General features: G+C 57.9%; 1 protein-coding gene across 4 annotated transcripts in view; it reads left to right on the forward strand.

Moving 5' to 3' along the window:
• Nucleotides 1–14,880, forward strand: part of DNAH1 (dynein axonemal heavy chain 1) — an 89,573-nt gene extending 74,693 nt beyond the window's left edge. For 3 of the 4 annotated variants that reach the window (XM_017006129.2, XM_017006130.2, NM_015512.5), the window contains 24 exons: nucleotides 548–733; nucleotides 1,050–1,241; nucleotides 2,555–2,722; nucleotides 2,806–2,997; nucleotides 3,194–3,325; nucleotides 3,849–3,974; nucleotides 5,323–5,442; nucleotides 5,567–5,716; nucleotides 5,831–5,991; nucleotides 6,852–7,077; nucleotides 7,218–7,413; nucleotides 7,722–7,873; nucleotides 8,853–9,049; nucleotides 9,303–9,447; nucleotides 9,696–9,854; nucleotides 9,935–10,066; nucleotides 10,756–10,926; nucleotides 11,006–11,185; nucleotides 11,256–11,432; nucleotides 12,095–12,265; nucleotides 12,420–12,550; nucleotides 13,238–13,589; nucleotides 13,933–14,167; nucleotides 14,713–14,880. In XM_017006129.2, the coding sequence (XP_016861618.1) occupies nucleotides 548–733; nucleotides 1,050–1,241; nucleotides 2,555–2,722; nucleotides 2,806–2,997; nucleotides 3,194–3,325; nucleotides 3,849–3,974; nucleotides 5,323–5,442; nucleotides 5,567–5,716; nucleotides 5,831–5,991; nucleotides 6,852–7,077; nucleotides 7,218–7,413; nucleotides 7,722–7,873; nucleotides 8,853–9,049; nucleotides 9,303–9,447; nucleotides 9,696–9,854; nucleotides 9,935–10,066; nucleotides 10,756–10,926; nucleotides 11,006–11,185; nucleotides 11,256–11,432; nucleotides 12,095–12,265; nucleotides 12,420–12,550; nucleotides 13,238–13,589; nucleotides 13,933–14,167; nucleotides 14,713–14,834 (4,173 nt within the window). In that variant the 3' untranslated portion in view covers nucleotides 14,835–14,880. The remainder of the gene's footprint in view (nucleotides 1–547; nucleotides 734–1,049; nucleotides 1,242–2,554; nucleotides 2,723–2,805; nucleotides 2,998–3,193; nucleotides 3,326–3,848; nucleotides 3,975–5,322; nucleotides 5,443–5,566; nucleotides 5,717–5,830; nucleotides 5,992–6,851; nucleotides 7,078–7,217; nucleotides 7,414–7,721; nucleotides 7,874–8,852; nucleotides 9,050–9,302; nucleotides 9,448–9,695; nucleotides 9,855–9,934; nucleotides 10,067–10,755; nucleotides 10,927–11,005; nucleotides 11,186–11,255; nucleotides 11,433–12,094; nucleotides 12,266–12,419; nucleotides 12,551–13,237; nucleotides 13,590–13,932; nucleotides 14,168–14,712) is intronic. The other variant, XM_017006131.2, reaches the window with a different exon arrangement.

Consider the following 14,949-nt stretch of genomic DNA (forward strand, 5'->3'; position numbering starts at 1 on the left):
CAGTAGCTCTTCTATGCCAGGCACTGCACTGGGCAGGGGGTCGGTGAGGAGCAAGGCAGAGGAATCTGAACGATTCCAATAACCACAACCCGGAGTCTGCCCAGCACAGGGCCCCATGTTGGAGGGCCCGATCCTCATGGCAGACCTTGCAGTTTGTGTATTCCTTATGACAGCTTTCTGGAAGGAATAGTCAAGTGTCCTGCTCGGCAAAGTCAGTGCATTGCAAAACTTCCCAGTAGATAGAAAGAAGCTAGAAGAAAGGCAGGAGGAGGGTCTTTCTCTGTCTTGCATGAAGGTGCCTGCAGGCTTAGGGGGCCCTGCCTGTGGGGCACTTACATCCAAACTTGTAAGGCCCCAAGCCACACGCCAGGCCCATGGTGAGCACTCAGGAGGTGGAAGGGGCTCCTGGTATTCCCAGACCTCTCTGGCCTGTCACAGCTGGAGGGCCCTTGGAGAACAGGGCACCCCAACTCTCCTTCCATCTGGGGAGACTAAGATGCAGAGAAGAGAAAAGGGGGGAGGACATCCCTATGTCTCCCATCCCCAGGTGGATACGGCCATCGCCGAGGAGACCCGGAATTCAGTGCAGACAGAGGAGATCAAAGCCAATGAGAAGGCCAAGAAGGCACAAGCTATTGCTGACGATGCCCAGAAGGACCTGGACGAGGCGTTGCCAGCCCTGGATGCGGCTCTGGCCAGCCTGCGCAACCTCAACAAGAACGATGTGACCGAGGTGGGCAGCAGGGCATCTCCTGGCATTCCCTCTCATATGCCTCTGTCCTCAAGCCTTCCCTCTGCACATCCCCTGGGACCCAGCAGCCTGCCCCACCCTCCTCATTCCAGCCCCCAGGGCCCAAGTAGGAGCATGGGCACCTGGGTTGGGGAACAGAAGGAACTGTGGGCTGAGGCCAACCTCGGTGGATCTCTGGATATGCCCGTGTCCTGTGGTAGTAGAGACTTGGTTGGTAGGGCCAACCTTTCTGGCAGGGTCCCTGCCGAGGGGTGCCCACTGGGTCTGAGTCTTCCCCACTTGGTGGCTGGGCCTGCAGGTACGTGCCATGCAGCGGCCACCCCCGGGTGTGAAACTGGTCATAGAAGCTGTGTGCATTATGAAAGGCATCAAGCCCAAGAAGGTGCCTGGAGAAAAGCCAGGCACCAAGGTGGATGACTACTGGGAGCCTGGCAAGGGGCTGCTGCAGGACCCGGGCCACTTCCTTGAGAGCCTCTTCAAGTTTGACAAGGTAAGCATGCCAGGCACCCTGGCCAGCCAGCGAGTGAGGACAAGGCCCGCCCGGCAGGACAGTGAAGCTGGAGAGGAGCTTGCCCCACCACATCATCTGCATGTGCAGTGGCCTCTGTCCTGTCTCTCTCTGTCCACCTCCACACCACCAGCACCACACAAGGGCCCGAGGGCCACACAGATGGCTGGAACCAGAGCCTGGCCCCAAGGGGTTCTCAGTCTGGTAGGGTGACAGACCCACCCACAGAAAGGTATTGAGGAAATTGGGACCTGGACAGGCTCCTGTGCCCCATAGGAAGTCACCCATGGTCATTCCAAGTCTCCACAGCCTGGGGATTCTCTTTCATGCCCTTTCATCCCAGAAACCCCCAGGCCTTGGCCAAGACCTTCACCATCTGCCCAGTCATCCCCTCTCTCCCTCAGCCTTAGCACCTGGGGCCCAGCTTCCCTGTCTGTCTCTGGGTTTCTCTGTCCATCTGGGGCCATCAGTATCCTTGGGCACGTGGTCTCTCGGGGGCTGTGCCATGGTTAAGTAGCCTGGAGCTCATAACCTCTTTGGGGGTTTCCTCTGCATCCCAGAAATTAGCTAGGGGGCAGCTGCCTGTCCCACACAGGCCACCATCCACTGTGTGTCAGTATCAGGCCCTGGGCACATCCCACACCCATTTAAGCAGCATCTGGACCCCTTATGGGCTACCCCATTCCTCCTTCTCCTCTTCCATCAGACAGGAAACTAGAGGCCCCACAGGCCTAATCAAGTCCCTCTGAGAGAAGCGCCCAAGTCAGGAGTGCTCAAGGCTGGTGCTTAGGCTCCCCTGGGCCCAAGCTCTGACCCCTGGGAGCTCGTGAGCAATGCAAATACCTGGGCCTATTATGAACTACAGGGCTGGACTCTCCCTGGGTGGGACAAGAGCCCCAGGGGGTGGGGTAGGCCCTTGAGGTTAAACATGAGCCTGGTGGGCCTCAGAACCATTCACTCATCCCAATACCTGCTGATGGTCTTGCTTTCAGGAAGTAGCCCTTGCCTTTAAATGAGCTTTTAAGTGGGGTCTTGTGTGTTATGTGCTCTTGAGACTGCCGCAGTGTCCCAAGGAAGACCTCCCTAATCATATGATCTAAAATCCTGGGGACCAAAGATTACCTTCTGGCCAGCCTTTCTGGGCTATGTTGTTCCTTAAGGAGAAAGAATCTGTACTGAGGCCTGCACAGGGCATAAAAGCCAGGGTGTCCCTCAGCAGGCCCCACATCCCAGCAGAGCCCTTCCCCTGTCACCCTTGAGAAGCAGCCTCTTGAGACCCAGGCTTCCCACCTCAGGACAACATTGGGGATGTGGTGATCAAAGCCATCCAGCCGTACATCGATAATGAAGAGTTCCAGCCAGCCACCATTGCCAAGGTGTCCAAGGCTTGCACCTCCATCTGCCAGTGGGTGCGCGCCATGCACAAGTACCACTTTGTGGCCAAGGCCGTGGAGCCCAAGCGGGTGAGGGCTGAGTGGAGCTGGTGGGGGAGGGCTCCCCTCCCGGGGGTACTTGGCGAGCTAATCCTGCGCCCTCCGCCCCACAGCAAGCCCTGCTGGAGGCCCAGGATGACCTGGGGGTGACACAGAGGATCCTGGATGAGGCAAAACAGCGCCTTCGTGAGGTGGAGGACGGCATCGCCACAATGCAGGCTAAGTACCGGGAATGCATTACCAAGAAGGAGGAGCTGGAGCTGAAGTGTGAGCAGTGTGAGCAGCGGCTGGGCCGAGCTGGCAAGGTGCGCACCCTCCTCCTGCAAGGCCTGCAAGCGGGCCCGGCCCAGACAGGGGCCAGAAAGGACCAGGGCGCCGGTGGGTCCTGGGGTGGCTGTCCACACCCCCTCCCTGGCAACCCCAGGTGCCACAGTGGGTAGGGCCAGCCCCAGGCCCCTAGCCCAGCCTCCCAGAGCCCACCCCACGGGGCTGCCCCTCCAGCTCATCAACGGGCTGTCGGATGAGAAGGTGCGCTGGCAGGAGACGGTGGAGAACCTGCAGTACATGCTCAACAACATCTCCGGCGATGTCCTGGTGGCCGCTGGCTTTGTGGCCTACCTGGGCCCCTTCACGGTAAGAAGTCCCCACCTCTGTCTCTGACCAGCCTCGCCTTCCCAAAGAGACCCTTCCCCCTTGAGGCCTCGCCTCCATGATAGGCAGCCTGCAGGTGGCTCTCCGCTCACTCAGTCATTCAACAAGCACTTAGCAGGCTCCCTCTCTGAGCCAGGCGCTGTAAAGCACTGGGGATACAGCAGTGTACAAAACAGCCAGAAAAGCCACCTAGTGGGAACATAGAAGAGCTCACACTTCTGCACTTGCTGCATGCCAGGCACTGTTCTAAACATGCCACCTGTGTCCCATTTAATCCTCATAGCCGCCATTACAGGCAGGCATCGTTAGCTTTGCCCGTTTCACAGATGAAGGGCTGAGGTTTGTGGAGGCCAAGAAAGTCACCCGAAGTGGGATTAGAATGCAGGTATCTGGCTCCATGTCTGAGCTCAGATCTCTGCAACTGCCAAGCACTGTGGCTTAGTGGGAGTTGGGAGGTCTCTGTGAGTGTCATGGTGGGGTGGTCCTGAGTCTGGCATCTCCCCAGGGCCAGTACCGCACGGTGCTCTACGACAGCTGGGTCAAGCAGCTCAGGAGCCACAATGTCCCACACACCTCCGAGCCCACGCTAATCGGGACGCTGGGGAACCCTGTGAAGATCCGATCGTGGCAGGTGCCCACCCCAGGGGCAGGAGTGCCCAGGCAGGGCCTGTGGTGTGGTCCAGGCTGGGCCAGGAGCCTTCTGCCTCCTTCCTACCCTGCTTTCCAGGGCCTGGCTCGGAGCTGCCTCTGCTGAACCCTCCTGTGCCCAGCAAGAGGGTGGTAGGAGGACAGGAGGAGAAAGCTGGGCTGAGTGTGGCACAGATGCTAGCTAAATGTGGGGAGAGGGATTAGGGGTACTTTTAAGAGTGTGATGGACCAGGCGTGGTGGCTCACGCCTGTAATCCCAGCATTTTGGGAGGCCAAGGTGGGTGGATCACCTGAGGTCAGGAGTTAGAGACCAGCTTGGCCAACATGGTGAAACCCCCTCTCTACTAAAACTACAAAAATTAGCCTGGTGTAGGGGCACACACCTGTAAGCCTGTAATCCCAGCTACTCAGGAGGCTGAGGCAGGAGAATTGGCTTGAACCCAGGAGGCGGGGGTTGCAGTGAGCAGAGATTGCGCCACTGCACTCCAGCCTGGGTGACAGAGCGAGACTCCGTCTCAAAAGAGAAAAAAAAAGAGTGTTGGGTGGAGGTTGAGAAACAGTGTCCACAGTAGGGTTTAGAAGGGTTGTCTGGTCAGATGCAGTGTAATCCCAGCACTTTGGGAGGCCAAGGCAAGTGGATTGCTTGAGCCCAGAAGTTTGAGACTAGTCTGGGCAACATGGCAAAACCCCGTCTCTACTAAAAATTCAAAAATTAACCAGGCATGGTCGTGCATGCCTGTAGTCCCAGCTTCTCAGGAGGCTGAGATGGGAGGATCACCTGAACCCAGGAGGTGGAGGCTCCAGTGAGCCAAGATCATGCCATTGCCAAAAAAGAAAAGAAAAGAAAGCTTTCCTAAAGGAAGTATCTGAGTGAGACTCTGAAGGGCAGGGAGAGTTGGCAAAGAGAGGTAACCAAGAGGCCATAGGCAGAGGCCAGGCGTGGGCAGAGGCCAGGAGGGTCAGTGGGGTATGGGCTCTATGAAGATGGTCTCATCAAGTGAGCACTCAGTAGGCAAGAGGACAAAAAGGCACAGCGAAGGAGGGCCTTTCTGTCTGTGGGTTTCTCTGTCCATCTGGGGCCATCAGTGTCCTTGGGCCTGTGCTCTCTCAGGGGCTGTGCCATGGTTAGGTATCCAGCCCAGGAGCGAGGGAGAGGCGGGAGTCCTGGGGGTGAGGCATTGCCTACATTGTCACCTGCCCCCAACCTCCAAGGGGATGCAGTAAGGAGAGGGAAGTCCATAGCCGAAACACGAGGCCGGGAGATGCTGATGCCCTCAGTGACCCTGCTTGCAGGAAAGCTCTGACCCAGTCCAGTGCCTGGCTCTCCACAGATCGCTGGCCTCCCCAACGACACACTGTCAGTGGAGAACGGGGTCATCAACCAGTTTTCCCAGCGCTGGACCCACTTCATTGACCCTCAGAGCCAGGCCAACAAATGGATCAAGAACATGGTGAGCCCACCCACCAGGCACCACCACCCCACCCCAGCCAGGCATAGCAAGGGCAGTGGTGAGCCGCAGAGCCTCAGGCTGGCTCTCAGTCCCTGCAACCCCTTCTTTTCCCCTTCCCTTACAGGAGAAGGACAATGGGCTGGATGTGTTCAAGTTGAGTGACCGCGACTTCCTGCGCAGCATGGAGAACGCCATCCGCTTTGGCAAGCCATGTCTCCTGGAGAACGTGGGCGAGGAGCTAGACCCAGCCCTGGAGCCAGTGCTGCTCAAGCAGGTGGGTCTGCAGTGGTGATGGCAGGGTGGCAGTAGGCCTGGACAGGGCAGTCCCCTTCCCCTGCCCCACTGGTGATGCTCAGGCCACAGTACCCACCGGTCCCACCCACCACAGACGTACAAGCAGCAGGGAAACACGGTGCTGAAGCTGGGGGACACGGTGATCCCCTACCATGAGGACTTCAGGATGTACATCACCACCAAGCTGCCCAACCCACACTACACGCCCGAGATCTCCACCAAACTCACCCTCATCAACTTCACCCTGTCGCCCAGGTGAGCCCCCACTCTTGGGGACGCCCAAGCATCAGCTCTGCCTCTGCCTGCCCAGCTGCTCCTCTCCCACCCCCAGGCCGGGAGTCAGTGGGACTTTCCCCCACTCAAAGTCTCCACCAGTTTCACCCCAGGCACTCACATTCGAAGCCTTTCTAGCACTTCCACCAGCTCCTCCTACCCACTACTGTTTCCACCTAAGAACCTTCATCCCCACCTCATCCAGATCCCTGGTCAGGGTCCCCAGCCTCTGTGTCTAGCACCAGCCTCACCTCCTCCAGGGACCCCTTCTCTCCTACTGAGCCCTCGCCAGGCCCTGTGCCCTCATCCTCAGAGCTGACCCAGAGCCCTGAGTCGGGCACACTCTGGCTCTTTGAATCCAAATGCCCTGCTTCTTATCCTTGCTGCCACGAGCCTGGGCACTGTGGTTTTCGCTGGCCATCCATACACAGCCCACAGCCCATAGGCCTGCTTTGTGCTAAGGCCTCCATTTCAGTGGTCAGTGTGAACCTCTCCACAAAGCAGGGGGCAAAAACACCCTGAAGGCCTGCCCTGGGTATCACAGCCCCCACTTGCCAAGGAGGTATTGTCCAGAGACCCCAGCCGCTCACACATCCAACTGCTCAGCCCCTTCTAGGATTCCAGGCTGCCACCCAAGGTCTCACTGAGAACTGATGTCTTTGAAGGCAGGCTCTGCACTAGCCCTGCAGCCTGAGATGGAGGCTAGGCCTCCTAGGCCAACACTGGCAAGGATGCTGGGCTCTTGGAGCCCCAGAAGCACAGGTGGATGGGTGACCAGGTTCACGACTAGCCCTCCGGGGCCCACCAGGTATTACAGACTTGGTGTCCCCTGCCCCCGGCAGTGGCCTAGAGGACCAGCTACTGGGCCAGGTAGTGGCAGAGGAGCGACCCGACCTGGAGGAGGCCAAGAACCAGCTGATTATCAGTAATGCCAAGATGCGCCAGGAGCTGAAGGACATTGAGGACCAGATCCTGTACCGGCTCAGCTCCTCCGAGGGCAACCCTGTAGATGACATGGAACTCATCAAGGTGCTGGAAGCCTCCAAGATGAAGGCTGCTGAGATCCAGGTCAGCTGCTGCCTGCCCACCCACCTGCCCCGGGAGTGCCCCGGGCCTGCCCCCCACCTCTCCCTGCCTGCCCTAGGCCTGCCCCCCAAACCCCCTACCTTCTGCTCTTTGACCCCTCCCCCCACCCACTACACCCACAGGCCAAAGTCAGGATTGCAGAGCAGACGGAGAAGGACATCGACCTGACGCGCATGGAGTACATACCCGTGGCCATCCGCACCCAGATCCTCTTCTTCTGTGTGTCCGACCTGGCCAACGTGGACCCCATGTACCAGTACTCCCTTGAGTGGTTTCTCAACATCTTCCTCTCGGGCATCGCCAACTCAGAGAGAGCAGGTAGCACCGGCATGCCAGGCTCCTACCCTGCACAGATATGACCCATGTGGACACATTTCCACTGTGGGGCACACACAAACTCACAACTGTGTTCACTGGCGTACACTCTCCTCTTAGACTCACAATACATAAGAATGCACACAGCACGCCTACCCTCCTCCGAGCCCCTTCACTGGGAACACCAAGTGCCCAAGAGGAGGCCCAGGCTGCCCCTACGGCTGCTGGGGAGACTGGCTAGGCTGGGCTGGACCCCGGGGCTCTTCCTTCCTCTCACCTCTCCGCGCTGCCATCACTTCTCCACTCCACAGACAACCTGAAGAAGCGCATCTCCAACATCAACCGCTACCTGACCTACAGCCTCTACAGCAACGTCTGCCGCAGCCTCTTTGAGAAGCACAAGCTGATGTTTGCCTTCCTGCTGTGTGTTCGCATCATGATGAACGAGGGCAAAATCAACCAGGTGCTGGCAGAGACACCCAGGACAGACTGCCTGAGGGGTGGCCCTGTGGCAGGGCCTGAGAACAGGGTGGAAGGAAAGGGAAAGCCAGGCATGAAGGCACCGCGAGAGCAAAGTGGCAGAGGAAACAATTCCTTGATTAAAAGCAGCCAGGGCCGGGCACGGTGACTCATGCCTGCAATCCCAGCACTTTGGGAGGCCGAGGCAGATGGATCACTTGAGGCCAGGAGTTCAAGACCACCCTGGTCTCTACTAAAAATACAAAAATTAGCTGGGTGTGGTGGTGCACGCCTGTAATCCCAGCTACTCAGGAGGCTGAGGCAGGAGAATCGCTTGAACCCAGAAGGTGGAGGTTGCAGTGGGCTGAGATCGTGCCACTGCACTCCAGCCTGGAAGACAGAGCGATATTCTGTCTCAAAATAAATAAATAAAAGCAGCCAGAAGACCCTGGGTTAATTGTGCTCCAACCAATGGCTCAAGGTTCAAGAAGGCCAATGTTGTGAGCACAGGCCTTCTCGAGCCTTGAGTGTGCTGGTGAGCACAAAGACTGTCCCCAGGGACGGACTGTCCTGAGCCTCCCACACCTGCTTGGCCAGGAACTCACACTCTCATGAAGCCCTATGCATTTCGTGGTGCAGCGGAAAGCCCTGCCGAGACAGTGAGAGTGACAGCCACCACTGTCAGAGCCCTAACTGCGTGCCTGGCACAGGACTCTGGCCTGGGAAGCAGTCAGCCTTCTGATTCTTTCTACTCCCAAATGAGGAGGCAGAGGCCCAGAGAAGTCACATCTCTTGCCCTAAGGGCACACAGCCAGGAAAAGGCAGGGTGGGAACACTAACCCAGACCTGTTTGACTACCATCCCCAAGGGAGACTCAGTTTCTCCAGGTGAGGGTGGTTAGAGAGGCACTACTGGGTGGGGGTGCCCAGAGCAGGAGGAGCTGGCCAGGGCCTGGGCATCAGCCTCCTCCTGTCCCCTGCCAGAGTGAGTGGCGATACCTCCTGTCTGGGGGCTCCATCTCGATCATGACTGAGAATCCGGCACCGGACTGGCTGTCAGACCGGGCTTGGCGAGACATCCTAGCACTCTCGAACCTGCCAACCTTTTCCTCCTTCTCTTCCGACTTCGTGAAGCACCTCTCAGAATTCCGGGTCATCTTCGACAGCCTTGAGCCCCACCGGTTAGCTGGGCCCCAGAATATGGCAGGATGAGCCCATCGAGGGGATGAGTCCCTAGGAAAGGCTTGTCTGGGCGCCTTCTCTAAGGGGCCACCCAGGGTTGCCCTGTGGCTGTGGCCACATCTCCTCTGTGCCTCCAGTGCCATACCCCTGGGATAGCCCACTCTCCCCAGCTGTCCGGCTGGCCGAATCCCTGGGGCCACCAACCTCCTTCCAACAGGCTGGCTCTCAGGGAGGTGTGGGCCACTGTTGCAGGGAGCCTTTGCCTGGCATCTGGGACCAGTACCTAGACCAGTTCCAGAAGCTGCTAGTCCTCCGCTGCCTGCGTGGGGACAAGGTTACCAACGCCATGCAGGACTTTGTGGCCACCAACCTGGAGCCACGCTTCATTGAACCCCAGGCAAGTGCTGGAACCCTGGCAGGACTGGCACCTTGAGCTTGTCCCCACCCTGGGTCCCAGGGCCCTGGCTGCATCTGGATAGACTACTTGGCCAGGCCAGGACCCCTGCTTGCTCCCTAAAGGCTCTGAGGTTCCAGCCCCCACCAGGAAGCCCACTGGGGACCACTCTGAGAACCCCAGATCCCCCTCCCTTGCCCCGATCTCTCTGCAGCCCCAGGTGGTCTCAGCATCTCCCCCTGCCCTTGCAGACAGCCAATCTGTCAGTGGTGTTCAAAGACTCCAACTCCACCACACCCCTCATCTTTGTGCTGTCACCCGGCACAGACCCTGCTGCCGACCTCTACAAGTTTGCCGAAGAAATGAAGTTCTCCAAAAAGCTCTCTGCCATCTCCCTGGGCCAGGGGCAGGTCAGGGCTAGGCAGGGAGGAAGGGAGTGGGCTGGGGGGTGGGCAAGCTGGCCCCCTGCTCAGTGCTCTTGCCCCTGCAGGGCCCTCGGGCAGAAGCCATGATGCGCAGCTCCATAGAGAGGGGCAAATGGGTCTTCTTCCAGAACTGCCACCTGGCACCAAGCTGGATGCCAGCCCTAGAACGCCTCATCGAGCACATCAACCCCGACAAGGTGTGTTGCCCTGCCCATCACAGACCCAGTGGGGCCGCCTCTGCATCCATCAGGGACTAATGAGGCAGAAATAAGAGAATCATGCCAAGCACTCTGCCCAGCCTCTAGCACGTGGCAAGTGCTCAGCAACTGACATGTGCCACACATCGACATCATTAATCCTCTCAATCCACCCCCACCCCCAGTTACCTGTACAAGCGGTGATGTGACTTGTCCAGGGACACCCAGCACAGACCGTGACCTGGGACTTGCCAAAGCCCTTTTTTTTTTTTTTTTTTCAGACGGAGTCTCACTCTGTCACCGGGGCTGGGGTGCAGTGGTGCAATCTCGGTTCACTGCAACCTCCACCTCCTGAGTTCAAGCGATTCTTCTGCCTCAGCCTCCCGAGTAGCTGGTAGTAACCCGCCACTATGCCCAGCTAATTTTTTGTATTTTTAGTGGAGATGGCATTTCACCATGTTGGCCAGGCTGTTCTCAAACTCCTGACCTCGTGATTCGCCTGCCTTGGCCTTCCAAAGTGCTGGGATTACAGACGTGAGCCACCGCGCCCAGCCAAAAGCCCAATTCTTAACCAGTTGTCTGTGCAGCCTCGCCTGACCCACCTCAGGGTCCCTGGGCAGGAGGGAGCCTGGTGTCAGGGTGGCCACCAGATATGGGTCTCAATGCTCACGTGGAGCCATGGCCACCAGGTACACAGGGACTTCCGCCTCTGGCTCACCAGCCTGCCCAGCAACAAGTTCCCAGTGTCCATCCTGCAGAACGGCTCCAAGATGACCATTGAGCCGCCACGCGGTGTCAGGGCCAACCTGCTGAAGTCCTATAGTAGCCTTGGTGAAGACTTCCTCAACTCCTGCCACAAGGTGAGGCACACTTGGTGCAGGCCTACCCTACCTGCCCCCGTCCCCGCTCCTCACCTCCCCTGCCTCCCACCTCCCCCAGGTGATGGAGTTCAAGTCTCTGCTGCTGTCTCTGTGCTTGTTCCATGGGAACGCCCTGGAGCGCCGTAAGTTTGGGCCCCTGGGCTTCAACATCCCCTATGAGTTCACGGATGGAGATCTGCGCATCTGCATCAGCCAGCTCAAGATGTTCCTGGACGAATATGATGACATCCCCTACAAGGTGGGCCTGGGGCAGACTGGGGCCTGGGGGACTGGGCACTTAGGGGAGCCCTCACCCACCCACCCCATAGGTCCTCAAGTACACGGCAGGGGAGATCAATTACGGGGGCCGTGTCACTGATGACTGGGACCGGCGCTGCATCATGAACATCTTGGAGGACTTCTACAACCCTGACGTGCTCTCCCCTGAGCACAGCTACAGCGCCTCGGGCATCTACCACCAGATCCCGCCTACCTACGACCTCCACGTGAGTCCAGCCCAAAGGGCTGCACAGGAGGGGCCTGCCAGCCTGGGGTTCTGGGGTACCATGAGCACCTTGGTGCTGGGTGGGAGGAGATGCAGCCCCCACCCTCCATCAGCTGTCTTTTCATCAGTCAATCCATCCCATCCCACAAAGACAGCCTTGGCGAGGGAGTCAGACCCTGCCCACTGGGGCTTGCCTCTGTGAGTGAACTCCTGGTCAGCCACTCCCTGGGTGGAATTACTCAGTGAAGGCTTGGGGCAGCTCCTCCAAGGCAGTAACCAGGCCCAGACTCCACAGTCAGGGAGGGCTGCCACAGAAATGATGCTTCCCCTAAGATGTGTGAGGAGAAGCCATGAGCCAGGGCTGGGTTGTGTGGGTCATCAGTGCAAAGGGCCTGTGGCAGGAGGGAGCCTGACAAATTTGGGCCACTGAATAGAGGGGCAGGGAATGGATGGCAGTAACAAGGAGGCTGGGAGGGAAGCAAGGGCCACACCACACAGTGCCTCAGAGGCCTGGAGTCCCAAGAGCAGGGACATGCATAAGGGTTATGAGCAGGAGTGACAAGTGGGGAATGTGACAAGTGGGGATGTGCTCCATTGGAGGGTAACTCTGAGGGCTGGGGCAGAGCAAGCCAGGGGCTTCCATGTTGGCCTCCTCTCTCCTAGGGCTACCTCTCCTACATCAAGAGCCTCCCACTCAATGATATGCCTGAGATCTTTGGCCTGCATGACAATGCCAACATCACCTTTGCCCAGAACGAGACGTTCGCCCTCCTGGGCACCATCATCCAGCTGCAACCCAAATCATCTTCTGCAGGCAGCCAGGGCCGGGAGGAGGTGGGTGGTGTCAGAGTAAGGGGCCCAAGGGCTGGACGGGCTGGGCTTCACCATCCTGCCCACTCCCCTGTGGGAAGGACCCCTATGCATGTGGAATCCCACAGGGGATAAGGGGGCCCAGCCTTGACCCCACAGTATTCCTTTGCCCCTGCAGATAGTGGAGGACGTCACCCAAAACATTCTGCTCAAGGTGCCTGAGCCTATCAACTTGCAATGGGTGATGGCCAAGTACCCAGTGCTGTATGAGGAATCAATGAACACAGTACTAGTACAAGAGGTCATTAGGTAATCACCCCGCCATACCCCTGCCCCGAGTCAGCGGCCACTGGACTGTAGAGAAATGACAACAGGGGTTACTATGGGCCAGGTGCCATGCCAAGTGCTACACATCCTCTAACTCAGCTATTTTTTGTTGTTGTTGTTGACACGGAGTCTCTCTCTGTTGCCATGCTGGAGTGCAGCGGTATGATCTCAGCTCACTGCAACCTCCACCTCCCGGGTTCAAGCGATTCTCCTGCCTCAGCTTCCTGAATAGCTGGGACTATAGGCGCACACCACCTAATTAGCGCGCCCAGCTAATTTTTGTATTTTTAATAGAGACGGGGTTTCACCATGTTGGCCAGGATGGTCTCGATCTCCTGACCTCATGATCCGCCTGCCTCGGCCTCCCAAAGTGCTGGGATTACAGGCATGAGCCACCGCACCTGGCCAACTCAGCCATATTTTTATTATTCACATTTTGTAGACGAGTAAACTGTGACCCCAAAATGTTCCGTAAGCTATCCAAGTCCAACTTCACACATGTGCTAAGGGCCAGAGCTGGGATTTGTACCCAGGCCACCTGACCCAGCTCTCTGCTCTTAGCCTCTATGTTTTGCCATTGTTTTTCACTCTGTGGCCTTGAGCTGCGGAGCATAGCTACTGCCACGTGACCCCAGCCCACTACCTATTCTCTTGCCACTGGCCTCACAGGTACAATCGGCTGCTGCAGGTGATCACACAGACACTGCAAGACCTACTCAAGGCACTCAAGGGGCTGGTAGTGATGTCCTCTCAGCTGGAGCTGATGGCTGCCAGCCTGTACAACAATACTGTGCCTGAGCTCTGGAGTGCCAAGGCCTACCCATCGCTCAAGCCTCTGTCATCATGGGTCATGGACCTGCTGCAACGCCTGGACTTTCTGCAGGCCTGGATCCAAGATGGCATCCCAGCTGTCTTCTGGATCAGTGGATTCTTCTTCCCCCAGGCTTTCTTAACAGGCACTCTGCAGAATTTTGCCCGCAAATTTGTCATCTCCATTGACACCATCTCCTTTGATTTCAAGGTCTGGGCACAGCCAGGGCCAGGTCAGGTGACAGGCTAGGGTACAGCCCAGGGAGGAGAGGCTCTGAGGCCACGGTTGGTTGGCAGTTGGGGGACCCCTAAGCCAGGGCATGGAAAGACCCAAGCCAGAAGAGGCCATGAGTCCCAGGAACGGGTCTGGGCTGGGTCCATCAGAAATCCACAGGGGCAGGGCACAGACCACAGGCCATGGGCTAAAGTGGTAGGTACGTGATGATGGGCAGGCAGGCAGCATTAGGCAGCTCTCTCAGAAGGGAGTTTTGTGCCTCCTAACCCAGATTCTGGGTATTGTTATGTGTGTGGGGTGTGTCTGTGTCTACCCACAGGTGATGTTTGAGGCACCATCAGAGTTAACACAAAGACCCCAAGTAGGGTGCTATATCCATGGATTATTCCTGGAAGGTGCCCGCTGGGATCCAGAGGCCTTCCAGCTGGCTGAGTCTCAGCCCAAGGAGCTGTACACAGAGATGGCCGTTATCTGGCTCTTGCCAACACCCAACCGCAAGGCCCAGGACCAGGACTTTTACCTGTGCCCCATCTACAAGACACTGACTCGTGCTGGTATGAGGCCTGGGATGGGAGCCTACACTATGGGCGGGGACCCAGGACTAACCCAGCCCAGCCCAAGCCAGTCACTTATCCAGGTTAGCTGAACAAGGAAGGACAACAGAGATTTGGGCCAGGCCAGCAAGCAGCAGGCAGGTTAATGCCCAAGGCCTGCCGTCTGGCTGTGGGGAGCACCCCTGAACTCCTATCCTGCATGCCTCCCTCAGCAGGCCCACCTTGGGCCCCAAGAGCCTACAAGCCCCAGCCTGTCATTGGGAGTTCAGAGGGGTAACTGAGGCCCAGGGCAGGAACTTGTTTGGACTAGGTCCATCAGAGAATGAAAAGTGGCATCAACTCTGCCATCCCTATCTTCAGTCCCCAATACAGTAACCCTGGGCAGGCTTGAACCCTGGCCAGACCCCCTCATCAGGTAGGCTTCCTCTTGGGTCAGGGCCCCCTCCCTGTCCTCAGCTTAGTCTGCCCACTGCCCTGCCCCTACGCTATCCCTGCTAGTAGTAATAGGGCATGACCTAACCCGTCCCCCTCCTTGCCCATTCCAGGAACACTATCAACCACAGGACACTCTACCAACTATGTCATTGCTGTGGAGATCCCCACCCATCAGCCCCAGCGACACTGGATAAAGCGTGGTGTGGCCCTCATCTGTGCCCTGGACTACTAGACTCAGACAGAAGGGCTGGGGCCATTAAAGCTGAATTTTCTAAGCAGTCCAGCTGTGCCTTAGCTGCTTGCATGAGGACCCCTCTGCAGGACTCACTGCCAGGGGGCTGGTGAGG

Source organism: Homo sapiens, chromosome 3 (assembly GCF_000001405.40).
Source record: "Homo sapiens chromosome 3, GRCh38.p14 Primary Assembly".
Classification (NCBI taxonomy): Eukaryota; Metazoa; Chordata; class Mammalia; order Primates; family Hominidae; genus Homo; species Homo sapiens.